This window comes from Homo sapiens, chromosome 14 (assembly GCF_000001405.40).
Source record: "Homo sapiens chromosome 14, GRCh38.p14 Primary Assembly".
NCBI lineage: Eukaryota > Metazoa > Chordata > Mammalia > Primates > Hominidae > Homo > Homo sapiens.
Genome location: NC_000014.9, coordinates 37,155,133 through 37,175,080, shown reverse-complemented (window position 1 = coordinate 37,175,080; position 19,948 = coordinate 37,155,133). Strand labels below are relative to the sequence as shown.

The 19,948-nt window shown below is 39.3% G+C and overlaps 1 protein-coding gene and 1 long non-coding RNA gene across 4 annotated transcripts in view, besides 3 other annotated features; one reads left to right on the top strand and one right to left on the bottom strand.

Moving 5' to 3' along the window:
• Positions 1 to 1,286: 1,286 nt before the first annotated feature.
• SLC25A21-AS1 (SLC25A21 antisense RNA 1) lies at positions 1,287 to 3,055 on the bottom strand. The gene has a single exon (NR_033240.1). It is a non-coding gene; the product is annotated as an SLC25A21 antisense RNA 1 (long non-coding RNA).
• Positions 2,202 to 2,780: an enhancer, noted in NCBI's record as "OCT4-NANOG-H3K27ac-H3K4me1 hESC enhancer chr14:37641506-37642084 (GRCh37/hg19 assembly coordinates)". NCBI's record gives its function as "activates a minimal SCP1, AML or CMV promoter by ChIP-STARR-seq in naive H9 embryonic stem cells {active_cell/tissue: H9 hESC(naive)}" and the evidence as "EXISTENCE:reporter gene assay evidence [ECO:0000049][PMID:30033119]".
• Positions 2,475 to 19,948, top strand: part of SLC25A21 (solute carrier family 25 member 21) — a 494,686-nt gene continuing 477,212 nt past the window's right edge. For all 3 annotated transcript variants that reach the window (XM_047431871.1, NM_001171170.2, NM_030631.4), the window contains exon 1: positions 2,475 to 2,800. In XM_047431871.1, the coding sequence (XP_047287827.1) occupies positions 2,731 to 2,800 (70 nt within the window). In that variant the 5' untranslated portion in view covers positions 2,475 to 2,730. The remainder of the gene's footprint in view (positions 2,801 to 19,948) is intronic.
• Positions 2,781 to 3,360: an enhancer, noted in NCBI's record as "OCT4-NANOG-H3K27ac-H3K4me1 hESC enhancer chr14:37640926-37641505 (GRCh37/hg19 assembly coordinates)". NCBI's record gives its function as "activates a minimal SCP1, AML or CMV promoter by ChIP-STARR-seq in naive H9 embryonic stem cells {active_cell/tissue: H9 hESC(naive)}" and the evidence as "EXISTENCE:reporter gene assay evidence [ECO:0000049][PMID:30033119]".
• Positions 6,834 to 7,386: an enhancer, noted in NCBI's record as "OCT4-NANOG hESC enhancer chr14:37636900-37637452 (GRCh37/hg19 assembly coordinates)". NCBI's record gives its function as "activates a minimal SCP1, AML or CMV promoter by ChIP-STARR-seq in primed H9 embryonic stem cells {active_cell/tissue: H9 hESC(primed)}" and the evidence as "EXISTENCE:reporter gene assay evidence [ECO:0000049][PMID:30033119]".

Sequence of the window (19,948 nt, the reverse complement as noted above, 5' to 3'; positions counted from 1 at the left end):
AGGGTTTTTTTAGCCACTTGACAAACGATAGGGAAGTCAATAATCATGTAATTATCAACCAAGATCAGCTAAATAAATCAATAATTTAAAGAATATAATCTTCATACTTTAGCAGTTTTGCCCCATTAGGATATCACATCACTATTCCAAATAATAATAGAACAACAATGTAATAGAGGCTAGGGAATCTGAAATAGGTCAAGTAAATATTACCATTGCTTCCCAGTACTAAATCTTCCAGCATTCCAATATTGGCCATGAGCAAATTTAGCTGCAGATAAGAATTACATTCCATTATCAGAGCGTTTAGCACAGTGAGTACTTATTGGCTCTGTATTGACTCTTGTTAACTCCCAAGCTCTAGAATGTTCTCATGCCTAGGCCCCATATCCTCTAGTATTCTAGAGGTATAGGACTGGATTATATGTGATATCAAGTCTTGCTTTTTTCACTCAAAGATATCTCTTCTAGTCTGGAGAGGTTAAAAAGAGGAAGTAACTTTTTAACAAGGATAACTGGGAGTTTTCCAACTGAATCCACAGAGCTTTTTAGAGGCTGGGTCTTAGACACAAACTTGCTCCCACCTACCATGGATAAGATCTTCAGAGGGGAAGACACTCATGGAAATAATTATGTCAAAAGATTGTCTTTAAATCTTGACCTAAAAGTATTATTGCATTTCCTGGATAACGTAGGGAAGGCAAAAATTTACTTACAAGGTGGTAGGATCTCCTCCATTAGATTGTAAGTGCCACAGGGAAGGGATTTGTAGTGATATTGTCAGTACCTAGGCAAGTGCTAACACTTAGTGAGCTCTCAGTGTAGAATCTGTTTCAGTGTGTGCACTAGGGTTTAATAGTTGTGACCAAATTTTTAAAAACTAAAAAAAAATGGAATTAATTTGTGGGGGTATTTGTGTCACAGAATGTAGTTTTTTTAGCCTGTGGTTAATATTTAAATCTACAATCCAATGCTATCAAAAGAAGGAGTCCTGTGATGGAATCCCAGCTATACTATTACGCCTAGTGTGATCTTGGAAAACTCAGCTTCTGCTTTGAAAAATGAGGAAAACATTTTCTATGAGCTCTGAAATTCTGTTTCTATACCTAGTATATAACAGGTTCTCAATATTTGTTGAATAAGTGATTCTATATTGCACTCAAGATTCCCTATTTAATTAGTAAAAAGTCTGAAAGATATTGCTCAAAAGCCTTTATCAAGTTAGCAAAATTTCTGAAAACTATTTCTTGGTAAACATTTTCAAACTTAGCAGTTTTAATCAAATATTTAATGAAATGAAAAACTTTATTTTTGTATATCTGATCACATAAGCAGCAAGTCTCCCCAATTCCTCAAGCACTTTAAATAATTTTGCCATATATCACTGATCAACTTTTAATGACTCAGCCTAAGAAATAAAAAATCAAGTATGAAACCAAATTATTGTACTTTGTACATTTGATTAGAAACCACATAAATTGAACCATACTAAATTGCTGATATTCAACGGTTTTTGACCTCCAAAAATGGCAATTTTTACATGGCTCACACTAAATATATTTAGCAATAAATAATGTGTTTTAAGAAATATTACAATAGGGCTTCTAAAGCCTCCCAATTCTCTCTTTTACTCTTATCATCTCCTGTCTGTTAGGGGTGTGGCAGGTATTTTTGGAAAATTTCACAATCTTATATCTCTCCTACATAACACAGGCAACTTGTAGTTTTAAAAGAGTATAAATTAGTAGTTTTGTTTTGGTAACTATCCTAAGGGGCTAGTAAGAATAATCAAACATTTTATTGAGAGAATATACTGTTAAGTTCCTTAATGTTCCTCAATTGTTTAAGTCAGTGGTTCACAACCTTTAAAGTTCATGACAATCAACAGAGAACTCGTTTCTGGGCCCTATCCCCAGAGATTCTGATTCCGTTTAGGTCGGGGTGGGACCCACGAATTTGACTTCCTAACACATTCACAAATTATGCTGATGCTGTGGGTACTAAAACCACTTTTAAGAACCACTGACCTGGGTATAGAAGAAACTATTTGTAACCAGGCTTTTTCTTCTTTTGGTCCTTAGGTAAATAAAACTCAAGTTGATGAGGTATGATTTTACCTTAAATCAAAACCATTTTTGGTAAAGTACTACCTTAGCTCTATTGTAAGGTAAGTGTAAATTAGATTTGCTTTGACTTAGTTGCTACAGACCACAATTATAGGACAACTAACTGAGGAATTTATTCACTTGTCCCTTCTTTTGAACCTCACTGTGCTCTGGCTTGCCAGGAGGTGCAAGTGTCGTCCCCGCTTTGTACTTGGCGCTCCAGGCCTGGGTCACTTCACTTGAGTTATCAGAGGCAACCGTCTAGTTTGACAAACTACCGGAGGCTCCTGATAGAGAAGGGCGTGGGCGCCAATCTAGGAGACAAAGCCTGAGCCGCTGCGGTGAGCCAACCCAAACCCATCCGCGGGTCTTCTTTCCAGAGACATTTTCGGAGCCGAGGGCGCCTCTGCGAGAGCGCTGCGAACAGGTTCCGACGCGCCGGAGATCGCGCGACGAATCTGCGCCTCGAACCCTCGCTTTCCAGCAGTCGCCGGATTGCTGCTCCACAGGGAGCCAACGCGCTTGAGGACCAGCCCAGCCGGGGCTCTCTGGATCAGTAGGCTGTGCAGGCTGCGAGCTCGTTGACGCATCTCAGCCCACTCCCTTGTCCTCCCGCCTGGCGAAGATGTCCGCCAAGCCTGAAGTCAGCTTAGTGCGCGAGGCTTCTCGGCAGATCGTGGCCGGTGGTTCTGCAGGTAAGGACAGCCCGCCCTGCCCCGCCGGAGGCTAGTCGCTTTCCCCACCGCGTGTCCTGAAACCGTTGCCCAGACAGGTCTCCTTACTGAAGTTCTGCCCTCTTCCTCAAAATTCAGCGCTCCCGGAGCAGTGCTTGAGCCCCTAGAGGCGCGAGAGCAGAGGAGGCCGGGAGTTGATTGCGAGTAGTGGGTGCCCCAAGTAAAGTTGCCTCGGCGTCCGCGCCGGCCGCTCTCGGGTTCCCGGCATTGTCCGTTCCTAGCCTGTAAAGCAAGTGGCAGAGCCCCAAGGGCAGCGACTTTGAGGCGGTCTTTTTGCCTTGCTACCTATTTTACTTGAAAATGATCCAGTTCGGTCTGACTTAGTTTTATCAATTGTAGAGTCTTTCTTCAAGCTCGCTCAGGTCTTACATAAATCCTGCATTCCTCATCAAAGTACTTACAGGACTCCACAGGACTTCTTATTGCATACTGTGCTTGCTTGGGGATATTCGTGCCTTAAATAAGGATATTAAAATTAAATGCATATGTAACACACATAAACACCTTTGATATAATGGGCTCACGTTAATTTATAGAGTTATGCTGTGGGGAAAAAATAAACCTTTAGAAAAAAATGTTGTAATTAATCTTAGAAATACTTTTAAATGTAGCTGGAGAAAGTTACTAACCACGACATGTGTTATGTGCAAGTATTTTAAAGCTATTTTAAAATATAAATTATGATTTGGTTTAAAATTTTATCTTACAGTCATGCATTTTTATTATAAATATATAATTAAAATAATTGCCATAATTGGCTCATAACCAGAAAACATTTTATAAATCTAGCCATTCTTTCAATAAATTATAGTAACTCTAATAAATCCTGTTAAGGCAATGACTAGAAAATGTTTAATGTTTAACTTCGACTAGTAAAAGTTTCTGTATTTTCAAACAAATTTGGACTTTTTGTAAGGGATTACTGCAAATTATGACTGGTTATCATTATGTCATGATCTACTTGCATCTCAGGAGTAACGTAAGCAGCCACGTGTCACTTACAATCTGTACACTTTCTTAAAGATGGTATTTCATCAATATCACATTAGAGCCATTCATTGCTTACAGGAAATTGTAAAATCTTTCCCCTCCCCTCCCCACCCCTCCCCTCCCCTCCCCTCCCCTCCCCCCTTTTTCTTTTCGATGGAGTCTCTCTCTGTTGCCCAGACTGGAAGGCACCGGAGCTGGATTGCCATGGCGCGATCTCGGCTCGCTGCTCCAACTCCCGGGTTCAAGCAATCCTCCCATCTCAGCCTCCTGAGTAGCTGGAATTACCGATGCGCATCACCATGCCGGCTATTTTTTTTTTTAATTTTTTTTGTAGAGACGGGCTTTCGCCATGTTGCCCAGGCTGGTCTCAACCTCCCGGGCTCAAGTGATCCTCTCACTGCAGCTTCCAGAGTAGCTGGGACTACAGGAGCCCACCACCATGCCCGGCTAGTTTTTTGGGGAGGTGGGGGAAGGGGATTTTTTTTTTTGTAGAGTCAGGGTTTCACCATGTTGTCCAGGCTGGTCTCCAACGCCTGGGTTCAAGCAATCTGACCCCCTTGACCTCCCAAAGTGGTGGGACTACAGGCGTGAGCCACCACCCGTTATTATAATTGCAGTGGCCCCACTGCTTGCTCTTTCAGTTTTCCAATTGTGATGATGAATTTGCACCAATTTATTTACCATTTTTGGTCAAATTCCGCAATGCCTAAGGTTCTGTCTTCTGTACCTGACTCGTTGATTTGTAGTCTATGACCCTGATGAAAGAAAACTCAGCTAGTCCAAAGAGAAAGTGAGGCCAATTGATTAACATCCTAAGCTAAGACTGATGACTCATAAGCACCTGTATGCTAATTTATATGATCATACTATGTATTAGGCACAGCTAAACTCAAAGAATGTTAAAAGTAGATCATACTCGGCCAGGCACGGTGTCTTACGCCTGTAATCCCAGGACTTTGTGAGGCGGAGGCAGGCGGATCACCAGGTCAAGAGATCGAGACCATCCTCCCCAACATGGTGAAACCCCGTTTCTACTAAAAATACAAAAATCAGCTGGGCTTGGTGGTGTCCGGCTACAGTCCCAGCTACTTGGGAGGCTGAGGCAGGAGAATCGCTTGAACCCAGGAGGCGGAGGTTGCAGTGAGCCGAGATCGTGCCACTGCACTCCAACCTGGCGACAGAGCGAGACTCGGTCTCAAAAAAAAAAAGTAGATCAAACTCTGATCCTACTTATGCTGTTTTGTTGAGTGATAAGTATTTGGCATAAATATGTGTGATTCCATCATATATTCTTATAAATGTAACTAATATAAATGCAAATTAGGATATTTATAAGATAAAAAATAGCATAGTTGATTTATATAGTTAATACTATGGAGTTATTAATAAATGATTAGAGTAACTTATACTTTCATAATAGTAAAAAAGAATTATATTTTCTTTTACTTGGCCAAAAACATTTTCATAAAACTTTATCTTTATTGCACTGTAGTACATGTGGGCTAATCATATTATATATACTTGGTCAAGGGCCAGATAGAAATCAATACACAAGAGAGGAAGAATTTTAATAAAAACAAAATAGATTTGAATCTCTGGCACTGGAGTTCTAATCACTGGTATTGTCCATGAATACAACACTTCTGTGTGTGTGTGTGTGTGTGTGTGTGTTATGACCTTTTGTTTGTAAAGGCCAAAGATACATTCTGGCTTTCTTAGGTGAAAAAGAAAAGAAACTGGGAGGTTTATTGGAGAGATACCAGGGTATCTCGTGGAATTCAAGGTCTGGGATGCATTCCTGGAACAAACTGGAATAAGGGGCTGGAGTGCTGAGGATAACTCAGGAAGTGAAGTCTCTCCATCTCTTCTCTTTTAGTAGTCAAGTGTTCCTAAGGCAGCAGGGAGGCAGGTAATAATAGGGCCACAAGTATTACTACTACACCTTTCGGGATGGCTTGCAAGACTTCCACAGACACTCGCCTAGTAAGGAGTAAGCAGGCCCAAATGCAGTCAGATAGTTTATTAGTTATACAGACAGCAAAAGCAAGACATCATGGTGCCAGCTCCCTGTGCCCATAGCACCACAGTCAGCACTGAACAGAAGAGACCAGAGGATAGGTGGGATGAGTGGGTCACTCTGCTGTTAAGGATCTACCTCTAAACCACAGCCACGTAGTTTTATAGACTTAATGTTGAGATCTGCAGCTGTAACCTACATGGGGGTAAGGTGGAAAGTCTTGCGTTCAACTGAAACTAGGGAGAGGGATGAGAAGCGGCCGTGTGGCAGTCTTCCACAAGATAGCAGCTCCTCCCCAGGCTGCTTATCTACCCTTTCACTTGGAGAAATCACAGGGCATTCTGCCAAGACTCAGGCCAGATTATGGTCTAACCTTGCCTGCTTGGTCTATGTGAAGATATAAGGTTGTCAGAGTGCCACACTGTGAAGCTATTTCCTTGTGTTCCCCTGGTGTCCTCCTCAGTCCTCTTTCTCACAGTTGACTGCTGGGTTTTTTGTTGTTGTTGTTCTTTAGTCTGTGTATCAGAATGTGATCCCCAAGACTTCTTTTTCCTGGAGAGAGTGAGAGACTAACTTGCTTTTTTTTTCGGTTCTAGTCCAAAATCCTGGGGAAAGACTAAAAATAACCCAGCATTAGTAGGGGCCCACCTCTGTACCAATCAACTGTAGCTAATCCCTATGCAGATTGGTGGGGCGGGTGAGGTGGGGAACCTCAGGGGAGATTATTTTCCAGAGAAACTAGATACACCATGAAATGGGCAATAGGTATTTTCTATAACGATATAGGTCTGTCTTTTATAAGAAGATGGTTTGTAATATTTTCATTTAAAATACTGAAGAGATTGATGCACTGACAGTAGCCTGGACAATACATTACACATCAGAAGAAACTGATGCGTACATCTGAAGATTGGTCTTTACATATAAATTTAAAGATTCAGGTGAGAGAATCACAGAAGCCAATAATGAGAGAGTCAGAGAAACCAATGATGAGAGCTTCAGGAAGATCAACAAAGACCAGCATTGCAGAGGGGTTAAAGATGAGAATGAGAAGAGGTTACTGGATCAGACCCTTGGTACTCAAAATATGGTCTATGGATGAGCTGCAGGAAGGAGTATGGTAGCATCTGGAAGTTTGTTGAAAATGTGGGATCCCAGGCCTCACCTACTGTAACTGCCCCAGCAGGTTCACCTTGCCTGCTGCCTAGACCGAGCGGATTTATCAAGACAAGAGAATTGCAATAGAGAAAGAGTAATTCACTCAGAGCCAGCTGTGTGGGAGACTGGAGTTTTATTGTTACTCAAATCAGTCTCCCCAAGCATTAGGGGGTGGGGGGAGCGGTGCAGCTAGAGAGTCAGGAGTGCTGATTGGTCAGGTCGGAGATGAAATCATAGGGAGTCGAAGCTGTCTTATGCTGAGTCAGTTCCTGGGTGGGGGCCACAAGATCACAAGAACCAGTTAGATCTAGGTGATGCCAGCTGATCCATCAAACGCAGGGTCTGCAAAATATCTCAAGCCCTGATCTTAGGCTTCACAATAGTGATGTTATCCCCAGGAGCGACTTGGGAAGGGTCAGAATCTTGTAACCTCCAGCTGCATGACTCCTAAACCATAATTTCTAATCTTTTGGCTAATTTGTTAGTCCCACAAAGGCAGTCTAGTCTCCAGGCAAGAAGGGGTTCTGTCTTGGGAAAGGGCTGTTACCATCTTTGTTTTAAACTGTAAACTATAAATGAAGTTCCTCCCAAAGTTAGTTTGGCCTATACCCAGGAATGAACAAGGACAGCTTGGAGGTTAGAAGCAAGATGGAGTTGCTTAGGTCAGATTTATTTCACTGTCTCAGTTACAATTTTGCAATGGCAGTTTCACTACCATATCGGAATCTGCGTTTTTGGAAGGGCCCCAAGTCATTGATTTGCACTTTAAAGTTTAGAAGCACTGTGTAGAAGACCTTTGAGAAAAAAAGACTCTATAGAGGGGGAAGGTCAAAGCCAAATTGCGCAAGTGAAATCTTTCTTGGTTTTCACTGCTGACCAGACAGAAGAATGAATTTCATACTCCCTGTTATATGCCCTCAATTTAGCTTTCAGTCTTATTTTTCAACCCTCTCCTACACATTTTGTTCAGTTTCTGCTGAACAGGTCTGCCGGCAATTCTTGACTGTTACCAGTACTTTACACCTTTATTCCTGATCCCCTAGAATGTCTTACCCCTTACTTTTTTTCTTTTTTGAAGCTAATATTTTTATTTGTATGGAGATAAGGGAACAATCTGATTCATCAGGTTTTCTTAACTGAAAGACTAGAGGCTTTCGATCCCTGTTAGAATATATAGCAGGATTAGAAGGTAACTGGTGAGATATTGTGCCAAATAAAATACAAATATTTCCTCTCACTAATTGTTTGCCTAATGGCTTCAAAACACCTACAAAGAACTTTCCTAGCTTCATCAAGAAGATATATCTCTACCTATTGAAATTCCATCCATTTTCCAAGGCCCAGATTGAAAATGATTTTCTGCATAAGTGTTTCCAAGATGGACTCTACAGTCCACCCAGCTTTAACATTTTCATTAGCATATGAATGATGCAAATAATAAAATAAGCTAATATTTATTGAGTAAATACTAAATGCCGGATCCAGTTCTAAGCTTTACATGTGTTAACACTTTTAATCCTTTCCACAACTTCACAAGGCAAGCACTATAATAATCCCCACTTACAGACGAAGAAACTGATGCGCAGGGGAATAATGAACATGCCATAGTTGCACATACATGCAACCATTTCTATAGGAGTTGGAAAGACGAAGTCAAGTCTACTCTTATAATCGCTGTAGCTGTAATTAGTTTATATTCCTTAAAATAACTGTTTTACCTACAAATACAATCCATACAGACTTTCCATTAAGTAGTACCTTGCTCACTCCAAATCATTTCATCTATCTAGGCAAACATTATCCTTTAGCCAAGAGAAAATTTAGTTATTTTACTTCTCCATCCATTCAGGGCCTCTACATGTAGTTGGACACATTGTGGACTGAAAAAGGGATCTGGACATGAGAGCAAGTAGGAATTGAAATCTAGCACATGCTCTGCTCCGTGATTTGTGCATCCTAGAACAGACGTGTTCACTTGGGGGAAGGGACACCTTTTTCTGTTTCTCACAAAGACACCAAATGGATTGACATAAGGTCTGACAGAATTCCCCTAAACATGTTAGGGATCCCAAGATCTCTGGTCTCAGCAGCCCCTGCATATGACATCATTACTCTGTCTGCATATCAACAGGGCTCTAGGAGGCTCCCCTGTCATGTACTTGATCAACTCTAACTTGGAGCTAGGAGCATGGGTCCATCTCAGACTTTCCCATTCTTCCTAATGATCAGTTTGGACCCTTCCCTGTGTTCCCAAAGACCACGGGGTAGTTCTTATTTCCCATGTCATATAAGATCAGGCCCACTCAGATGGTCATTCTCCCCAGACTCTCACAGGGATTTTGTACCCAACCTCAGAACCTCCCAGGGTCTGTGACAATGTTATCTTAGCCCCCTGAGTGGTCCTGCTCTTACTAGGACCTGTCAGGCTTCCTCCTGAGGTCACTCCTAAGCCTTGTCCACACTGAATTTTCTTCCATAGTGGCAACTCCAGGACCCTCCTCCTGCCTCCCAGAATCTTTTACTCATATTCCCCAAAGTCTGCCAGTCCCACTCTGAATGCCTTCTACAGCATTATCACCTTCTATATATCATGCATGTGAGATCACCATCCTGGCAAGACTGACTTATTTTCCAAAATTTCCAGGTTGCTGTTTCATCCTTTCCAGCCTTACCTTAGTCCCTGGTATCTTTTTTTTTTTTGAGACGGAGTCTCACTTTGTCACTCAGGCTGGAGTACAGTGGCGCAATCTTGGCTCACTGCAACCTCAGCCTTCTAGGTTCAAGCGATTCTTTTGCCTCAGCCTTCTGAGTAGCTGGGATTATAGGCACCCACCACCATGCCTGGCTAATTTTTGTATTTTTAGTAGAGATGAGGTTTCGCCATGTTGGCCAGGTTGGTCTCAAACTCCTGACCTCAAGTGATCCGCCCGCCACAGCCTCCCAAAGTGCTGGGATTACAGGCGTGAGCCACTGCACCCAGCCAGTCCCTGGTGCTTATAAGCACATCTCCATCAATTACTCTGTTTTTACTTTGTGCATCTCCCTGCAGTTCATTGCTTTCATTTAAATTCATTGTTTTAGTTCAAAGTTTTCTGGAAACAAGTTTTCCAATCTTGCACTAAACACAGTTCAAGTACTTTGTGTAGTGTTATCTCATTAATCACCTTCAAAGAGTCAAATAAGAGTGAAATGAAAGACTTTTTTGAGGGAGGGAAATCTGGAATTAATGAATAGGCTTTTGGGAGATTAATTATCTGAGAGTATATGCAAATGCTGTGATATTTTAATAGGGAGAGAGTCCAAGGCTTTTAACCTGAAAAGGCTAATAAAAAGATATAGGATGTTTTCAAATTTCTTACATATCTTCATTTTCACAAGATTACTCCTTTTTCTTACTCTAATAGTTAAAATACAGTTAAAATAGATGCCTTAATAGTATGTATACTAGAAGTCCTTTGGATTTTAATTTGAACTACGTAATAAAAGGGCTGATACACCAGGGGGTAATCAAGGTTAAAATTTTGATCAAGGAAAATTCTTTTGCAAAATGGTGCAAAGGGGATGCACGTGTGATTTGGATAAATGGCACCTTTGGAAATTCAGGATTTGGGAAACTGTAATTGTTTGATAATAAATAGCAGGTTGTACTGAAACAGGTGAGCCTTTATGACACATCAAAGGGTGGCTGGAACCCATTATCTGGGTAATTAGGGAGAAAAAAATAACCCTTATTTCAAGCACATAGGAGGAAGCAACCCTATTGCTCGAATTAATTATAAAATACCTTTAAAGGATGTATTTTAAGTAAAATGTAATCTTGTCTCTCTTTAAGAAAATCTAGTTCTCAAAAATCAGAATTTAAGAACAAACAAAATATGAGTTGCATACCACATTTTAAAGGATTTCTTATTTTACTCTACCTTCCTGAAAGATGTTTTAAAAGTGTAACTACCCTTAATATGTGGCTATATGATTCAACTGACATAAAACTTAAAACAACTTTTATACAATATTTTAAAAACATGTGGTTAAACCAGCCCTTCCTCACCTCCCTTTTGCCCCCAGCCTTGACTACAGCTTCTTAGGGTATTGAGAACCAGGTGTTTCAGAGTATAGCAAGTAGGGGCTCAGAAATGTTTGTTGATCATATTAACAAATAAATATGAAAAGTCTAAGCCATAGAATATTCTTAGGTTCCTACTCTGAAGACAGAAAAATATTCAGGGATTCTAGTCATTAGATAATACTTACAACAATACTGTATAAATGATTTATACATTTTAAAGTGTTATCATTCTACTCTGCTATCAAACATTGAATTTATTCCTTCTCTCTTCCTGTATGTTTATACACTTTAACCCACTTTTATTCATCCTCCCCACTCCTCCCAACTCACCCTTCCCTGGTGGTATCTTTAAAATGGCAATGAATGAAAGGAACCAGGTTAAAGGTGCAGTATTTTTACAGTTGTACTAGATTTTGATCGATTTTTCTTACCAATTTCCTTTTTTTGTTTTCATTCTCATATTGTTATTGTATCTAAATTGGAAGATAGTTATTTTCCAAGTGATTAATATCTTTTATTATGTTTGTGTCAATTATTTTGACACTTTGATGTTATCATGGTTTATACACATTGTAAATATTCTATCAGATATGTATTTTTTCATTATTATCTGTAGTCCTTATATAAATTTGCTGGGGTTACCAGAAAAATGCACCACAAACTGGGCAGCATAAACAACAGAAATTTCTTTTTATTTATTTATTTATTTATTTATTATTATTATACTTTAAGTTTTAGGGTACATGTGCACAATGTGCAGGTTAGTTACATATGTATACATGTGCCATGCTGGTGCGCTGCACCCACTAACTCGTCATCTAGCATTAGGTATATCTCCTAATGCTATCCCTCCCCCATCCCCCCACCCCACAACTGTCCCCAGAGTGTGATGTTCCCCTTCCTGTGTCCATGTGTTCTCATTGTTCAATTCCCACCTATGAGTGAGAATATGCGGTGTTTGGTTTTTTGTTCTTGTGATAGTTTACTGAGAATGATGATTTCCAATTTCATCCATGTCCCTACAAAGGACATGAACTTATCATTTCTTATGGCTGCATAGTATTCCATGGTGTATATGTGCCACATTTTCTTAATCCAGTCTATCATTGTTGGACATTTGGGTTGGTTCCAAGTCTTTGCTATTGTGAATAGTGCTGCAATAAACATACATGTGCATGTGTCTTTATAGCAGCATGATTTATAGTCCTTTGGGTATATACCCAGTAATGGGATGGCTGGGTCAAATGGTATTTCTAGTTCTGGATCCCTGAGGAATCGCCACACTGACTTCCACAGTGGTTGAACTAGTTTACAGTCCCACCAACAGTGTAAAAGTGTTCCTATTTCTCTACATCCTCTCCAGCACCTGTTGTTTCCTGACTTCTTAATGATTGCCCTTCTAACTGGTGTGAGATGGTATCTCATTGTGGTTTTGATTTGTATTTCTCTGATGGCCAGTGATGGTGAGCATTTTTTCGTGTGTTTTTTGGCTGCATAAATGTCTTCTTTTGAGAAGTGTCTGTTCATGTCCTTCGCCCACTTTTTGATGGGGTTGTTTGTTTTTTTCTTGTAAATTTGTTTGAGTTCATTGTAGATTCTGGATATTAGCCCTTTGTTAGATGAGTAAACCCTAGAAGAAAACCTAGGCATTACCATTCAGGACATAGGCATGGGCAAGGACTTCATGTCTAAAACACCAAAAGCAATGGCAACAAAAGCCAAAATTGACAAATCGGATCTAATTAAACTAAAGAGCTTCTGCACAGCAAAAGAAACTACCATCAGAGTGAACAGGCAACCTACAAAATGGGAGAAAATTTTCAGAAATTTCTTCTTTCGTCGGCAGGGTTGGCTCCTTCTGGAGACAGTGAGGGAGAATCTGACCCACACCTCTCTCCTAGCTTCTGGCAGTTGCCAGCAACGCTTGGTATTCCTTGGCCTGTGGACACATTACTCCAATCTCTGCCTCCCTCATTACTTGGTGTTCTCTCCCTATCTTTTTAATTTTTTTTTTAATATTAGATTTCTTTTTTTTTTTTTTTTTTTTTGAGACGGAGTCTCGCTCTGTCGCCCAGGCCGGAGTGCATTGAGGCGATCTCGGCTCACTGCAAGCTCCGCCTCCCGGGTTCACGCCGTTCTCCTGCCTCAGCCTGCCGAGTAGCTGGGACTACAGGTGCCCACCACCATGCCTTGCTAATTTTTTGTATTTTTTTTAGTAGAGACGGGGTTTCACCATGTTAGCCAGCATGGTCTTGGTCTCCTGACCTTGTGATTCGCCCGCCTCGGCCTCCCAAAGCGCTGGGATTACAGGCGTGAGCCACCGTGCCTGGCCGTTCTCTCCCTATCTGTCACTATCTTTGTGTCCCTCTTCTTATAAGGACACCAGTCATTGGATTAGGGTTCACTGTAATCCAATATGACCATATTTTAACTTGATTACATCCTTAAAGATCCTATTTCCAAATAAAGTCACATTCACAGGTACCAGGAGTTAAAACTTCAGCATATCTTTTTCTGGGACCAACCCACAACAGACATTCTATTGTATTTTTCTCATATTGTGTTTCTCAAATTTATGGTCCATATCTCAAGCTATGGTCCTGTGTTCCTCTTTTCATGGTCAACCTTTCTGAAAAGTTCCTCACTCAGTCTTCAACCTGCTATAATTGGCATATCCATGTTTACCTTTATGCCGAAACTGTTAACTGCTATTTTTCATTCCTAATTTTATCTAATCTTTGCAGAATTTCACGTCACTGATCAGTTTTTCCCTTTAAAGTTGTCTCTGTGATTGATTTTTACCCTCTTCTTTTTATCTGGTCACTCTTTTTTCATTTGTGCAAATTTATGGAATATATGAGAAATTTTTTACATGTATGTAATGAATAGTGATCAACTCAGGATATTTAGGGTGTCTATTACTCAAATATAATACATTTTAAGTATAGTCATCCTACTCTGCTATGAGACATTGAATTTATTTCTTCTCCTCCCCCCCGCCCCCTCCACCTGCCCCCCCTTTTCCCCACCCCCTTCCTCTTTCTCCTCCTCCTCCTCCTCTTCCTCCTTCTTTCTTTCTTTGAGATGACATCTCACTCTGTTGCCCAGGCTGGAGTGCAGTGGCATCATCTCTGCTCACTGCAACCTCTGCCTCCTGGGTTCAAGCGATTCTCCTGCCTCAGCCTCCTGAGTAGCTGGGATTGCAGGCACATGCTACCAGGCCCAGCTAACTTCTGTATTTTTAGTAGAGACAGGGTTTCACCATGTTGGCCAGGCTGGTCTCGAACTCCTGACCTCAAGTGATCTGCCTACTTCAGCCTCCCAAAGTGCTGGGGTTACAGGCGTGAGCCACCGCACCTGGCCTGAATTTATTTCTACTATCTCACTGTATGTTTGTACTCTTTAACCTACTTCTCTTTATCCTTGCCCTCCTGCCTCTCTCACCCTTCCCAGCCTCTGTTATCTATTTTTCTACTCTACTTCCATGCGTTCAAATGTTTTAGCTCCCACGTATAAGTGAGAACATGCAATATTTGTCTTTTTGTGCCTGGCTTATTTCTCTTAAGATAACGACCTCCAGTTTCATCCATGTTGCTGCAAATGACATGATTTTAGTATTTTTTAATGGCCAAATAGTATTTCATTGTCTATAAATACCACATTTTCTTTATCCAGTCATCTTTTCATGGGCACTTTGGTTGATTCCATGTGTTTGCTATAGTGAATAGTGCTGCAATAAACATGCAAGTGCAGCTATCACTTTGATATGTGGATTTCATTTCCTTTGGGTAGATACCCAGTAGTGGAATTGCTGGATCGAGTGGTAATTCTATTTTTAGTTTTTTTTGTGTGAAATCTCTGTATGGTTTCCATAGTGGCTATACTAGTTTACATTCTCATCAACAGAGTGTAAGTTCTTTTTGCTCTGCACCCTCAACAACATCTGTTAATTTTGTCATTTTAATAATAACCATTCTAACTGGGTAGAGATGATATCTCATTGTGGTTTTGATTTGCATTTCTCTGATGATTAGTGATGCCGACCATTTTTTCATATATGTATTTGTGTGTCTTCTTTTGAGAAATGTCTATTCGTGTACTTTGCCTACTTTTTAATGATGTTATTTATCTTTGTCCTTTTGAGTTGTTTGAGTTTCTTATATATTCTGGATATTAGTTGCCTGTTGGATGAATAGTTTGCAAATATTTTCTCTCATTCAACACGTTGTCTCTTCACTGTTGATTATTTCTTTTGCTATGCAGAAGCTTTTTAGTTTAAGTCCTATTTGTCTATTTTTGTTTCTGTTGCCTGTACTTTTGAGGTATTAGTCATAAATTCCTTGCTGAAACCAATGTCCAGGAAAGTTTTCCCTAGGTTTTCTTCTAGTATTTTTATAGTTTTGGGTCGTATATTTAAGTGTTTAATCCATTTTGAGTTGATTTTTGTATATTGTGAGAGAAAAGGGTTCATTTCATTCTTCTGCATGTGGTTATCCAATTTTCCTAGTACCATTTTTTGAAGAGCGTATTCTTTCCCCACCCAGAGACTCTTGTCAGCTTTGTCAAAGATGAGTTGTCTGTAAATATGTGGATTTATTCCTAGTTTCTCTATTCTGTTCCATTTGTCTATATGTCTCTTTTCATACCAATACCATACTGTTTTGGTTACTATAGCCTTGCATTGTATTTTGAAATCAGGTAATGTGATGCCTCAGCTTTGTTCTTTTTGCTCAGGATTGCTTTGTCTATTTTGCCTCTTTTTTGATTCCCTATGGATTTTAAGATTTTTTTTTTTCTGTTCCGTGAAGCCAAATTTTTGATAGGGATTGCATTGAATCTGTAGATTGCTTTGGGCAATCTTGTCATTTTATTGTTATTAATTCTTCTCATCCATGAGCATAGGATTTTTTTCCATTTGTTTGTGTCATCTTTAATTTCTTTTACAGTGTTTTGTAGTTTTCCTTGTATAGATCTTTTACCTCTTTAATTATATTTACTTCCAGGTATTTTATATGTTTTATAGCTATAGTAAATGGGATTGCCTTCTTGATTTCTTTCTTGGCTAGATAACTATTAGTGTATAGAAATGCTACTGATTTTTGTATGTTGGTTTTGTATCCTGAAAGTTTACTACATTCATTTATCAAATCTAACAGTTCTTTGGTGGAATCTTTAAGTTTTTTCTAGATACAAGATTATATCATCAGAAAATAGGGACACTGTGACTTCCTCTTTTCCAATCTGAATGCCTTTTATTTCTTTCTCTTGGCTGATTGCTTCGGTTAGGACTTCCAGTACTATGTTGGATAGGAGTTGTAAAAGTGGGCATCCAGAACCAGTGTTCTGGTTCTTAGAGGAAAGGCTTTTAACTTTCTGCTATTCAGTATGATACTAGCTATGAGTTTGTCATACATGACCTTTATTTTTTTGAGGTATGTTCCTTATATGCCTAGTTATTAAGAATTTTTATCAAGAAAGTATGGTGAATTTTATAAAATGCTCTTTCTGCATCTATTGAGATGATCATATGGTTTTTGTCCTTCATTCTGTTGATGTGATAGAGCTTGATCATTGATTTGCATATGTTGAACTATTCTTGCATCCCTGGAATAAATCCTGTTTGATAATGGTGTATTATCTTTTTGATGTGCTGCTGGTTTCAGTTTGCTTGTATTTTGTTGAGGATTTTTATGTCTATGTTCATTAGGGACATTGGCTTGTAGTTTACTCTTTTTGTTCTGTTCTTTTCTGGTTTTGGTATCAGGGTGATACTGGTCTCATAGAATGATAGCGAGAATTACCTCCTCTTCAGTTTTTTGCAATAGTTTCAGGAGAATTGGTATTAGTTTTTCTTTGTATGTTTGGTAGAATATGACTGTGAATTCAGCAGGTCCTTTTTGTCGTTGTTGTTGGGAGACTTTTATTACTGATTCAATCTTGCTACTTGTTATTGTTCTGTTCATGTTTTCTATCTTTTCTTGATCCAATCTTTGTAGGTTGTATGTTTACAGGAATTTATCAATTTCCTCTAGTTTTCCAATTTGTCACCATTTAGTTATTTACAGTCTCTGATGATCTTTGATATTTCTGTTGTATCAGTTGTAATGTTTCATTTTTGATTTTTGATTTTGTATATTTGGATCTTCTCTCTTCTTGGTTAGTCCAGCTAAGTGGTTTATCAATTTTATTTATCCTTTGAATAGCCAACTTTTTGTTTTGTTTATCCTTTATATTGTTTTCTTTGTCTCTATTTCATTTAGTTCTGCTCTGTTTTTTATTATTTCTTTTCTTCTGCCAGTTTTGGGTTTGGTTTGTTCTTGCTTTTCTAGTTCCTTGAGGTGCATTGTTAAATTGTCAACTTGTAGTCTTTCTGCTATTTTTGCTGTAGTTATTCAGTGCTATAAGCTTCCCTCTTAGCATTGCTTTTGCTGTATCCCATGGGTTTTGGTATGTTGTGTTTCCATTTTCATTTGCTTCAAGGAATTCTTCCATTTCCATCTTAATTATTCATTGACTCAAGTGGTCATTCAGGAACATGTTCAGCTTCCATGTATATGAATAGTTTCAAAAGTTCCTCTTACTATTGATTTCTAATTTTATTCCATTGTGGTCTGAGAAGATACTTGATATGATTTTTTTTTTCCTTTTTGAGTCAGAGTCTTGCTCTGTCACCCAGGCTGGAGTGCAGTGGCACTATCTTGGCTCACTGCAACCTTTGTTTTCCTGGGTTCAAGCAATTCTCGTGCCTCAGCCTCCCAAGAAGCTGGGATTACAGGCATGCACCACCATGCCCAGTTAATTTTTTTGTGTGTTTTTAGGAGAGATAGTGTTTCCCCATGTTGGCCAGGCTGGTCTCAAACTCCTGGCCCCAAGCAATCCACCTGCCTTGGCCTCCCAAAGTGCTGGGATTACAAGCATGAGCCACCGTGCTGGGCGTGATATGATTTTATTTTTAAAAATTTGTTGTGACTTGTGTTGTGGCGTAACATATGGTCTATCCTGGAGAATGTGCCATGTGTGGCTGAAAAGAATGTATATTCAGCACTTGTTGGATATAATGTTTTGTAAATATCTGTTAGGTCCATTTGATCTAATGTGCAGTTTAAATTCAGTGTTTCTTTGTTGATATTTTGTGTAGATGATCTGTCTAGTGATGAAAGTAGGGTGTTGAAGTCTTCCACTGTTACTGTGTTGGAGTCTATCTCTCTCTTTAGATCTAGTCTTATTTGCTTGATGAATCTGGGTGCTTCAGTATAGAGTGCACATATATTTAGAATTGTTATATCCTCTTGTTGGATTGTTCCCTTTATCATTACATAATGACCATCTTTGTCTTTCTTTTACTCTTCTTGACTTAAAGCCTGTTTTAGCTGATATAATTGTAGCTACTCCTGCTCACTTTTGGTTTCTGTTTGTCTGGAGTGTCTTTTCCTTTTCCTTTACTTTTAGTCTATATGTGTTTTATTGATAAGTTGAGTTTCTTGTAAGCAGTATATAGTTGGAAGATAGTTTTTAAAAAATCTGTTTAGCCGTTCTGTATCATTTATGTGGATTATTTAATGTTTATGTTCAAGATTATTATTGATATTATTGATATGTGAGGCTTTGTTCCTGTCATATTAATTGTTTTCTGTTTGCTTTGTATACTCTTTGTTCCTTTCTTTTTCTCTTATTATTTTAATTAATTAATTTTATTTTCCCAGTCTTTAGAACCTGTGAATCTTTTATTATTTGTCATTGCGGTTTGGTGAATTTCTGTAGTAATACCATTTAATTCTTTTCTCTTCCTCCTTTGTGTGATTGCTTTACTAGTGAGTTTTATACTTTCGTGTATTTTTTTTTTTTTTTTTTTGAGATGGAGTCTCACTCTGTCACCCAGGCCGGAGTGCAGTGGTGCGATCTCAGCTCACTGCAACCTCCGCCTCCTGGGTTCAAGTGATTCTCCTGCATCAGCCTCCTGAGTAGCTGGGGTTACAGACATGCACCACCATGCTCAGCTAATTTTTGTATTTTTAGTAGAGACAGGGTTTCGTCATATTGGCCAGGCTGGTCTCAAACTCCTGACCTCAGGTGGACCACTCATCTCAGTCTCCCAAAATGCTAGGATTACAGGCATGAACCATCAGGGCTGGGCTACTTTTGTGTGTTTTTGTGATGGTAAATCTAATCTTTTCAATTCCAGGTTTAGGACTCCCTTGACCATTTCTTCTAGGTCCAATCTAATGGTAATAAATTCCTTCAGCATTTGCTTGTCTGGGAATGCCTTTATTTCTCCTTCATTTAGGAAGAATAATTTTGCTATAATTTTGCTGGGTATAGTATTCTAGGGTGAAAGTTTTTTGGGTTTTGTTTTGTTTTTCTCTTGCCACTATCACTATATCATGCCATTCTCTTCTGGCCTATAAGGTTTCTGCTAAGAAATTCACTGTTAGTTTGATGGAGTTTTCTTTATAGGTGACTAGATGATTTTCTCTTGTTATTTTTAGAATTATCTTTTTATCTTTGACTTTAGACAGTCTGATTATAATGTGCTGTGAAAACTTTTTGGCATTGTATCTTCCTAGGTATTGTTGAGCCACCTGTATCTGAATATCCTCTTGCTAGACTTACATCTCCTGCTAGACTTATTTTATTTTGTTAAATAAGTTTTCTAATCTTCTCTTTGTTTCTTTGTCCTCTAGGATACTGATAATTTATAAATTCAGTCACTGTATGTTGCCCCAAATGTCATGAAGCCTTGCTTATTCTTTCAAGTCTCTTCAAAAATACAAAAATTAGCCAGGCATGGTGGCAAACACCTGTAGTCCAGCTACTTGGGAGGCTGAGGTAGGAGGATTGCTGGAATCTCGGAAGCAGAGGTTGCAGTGAGCTGAGATCG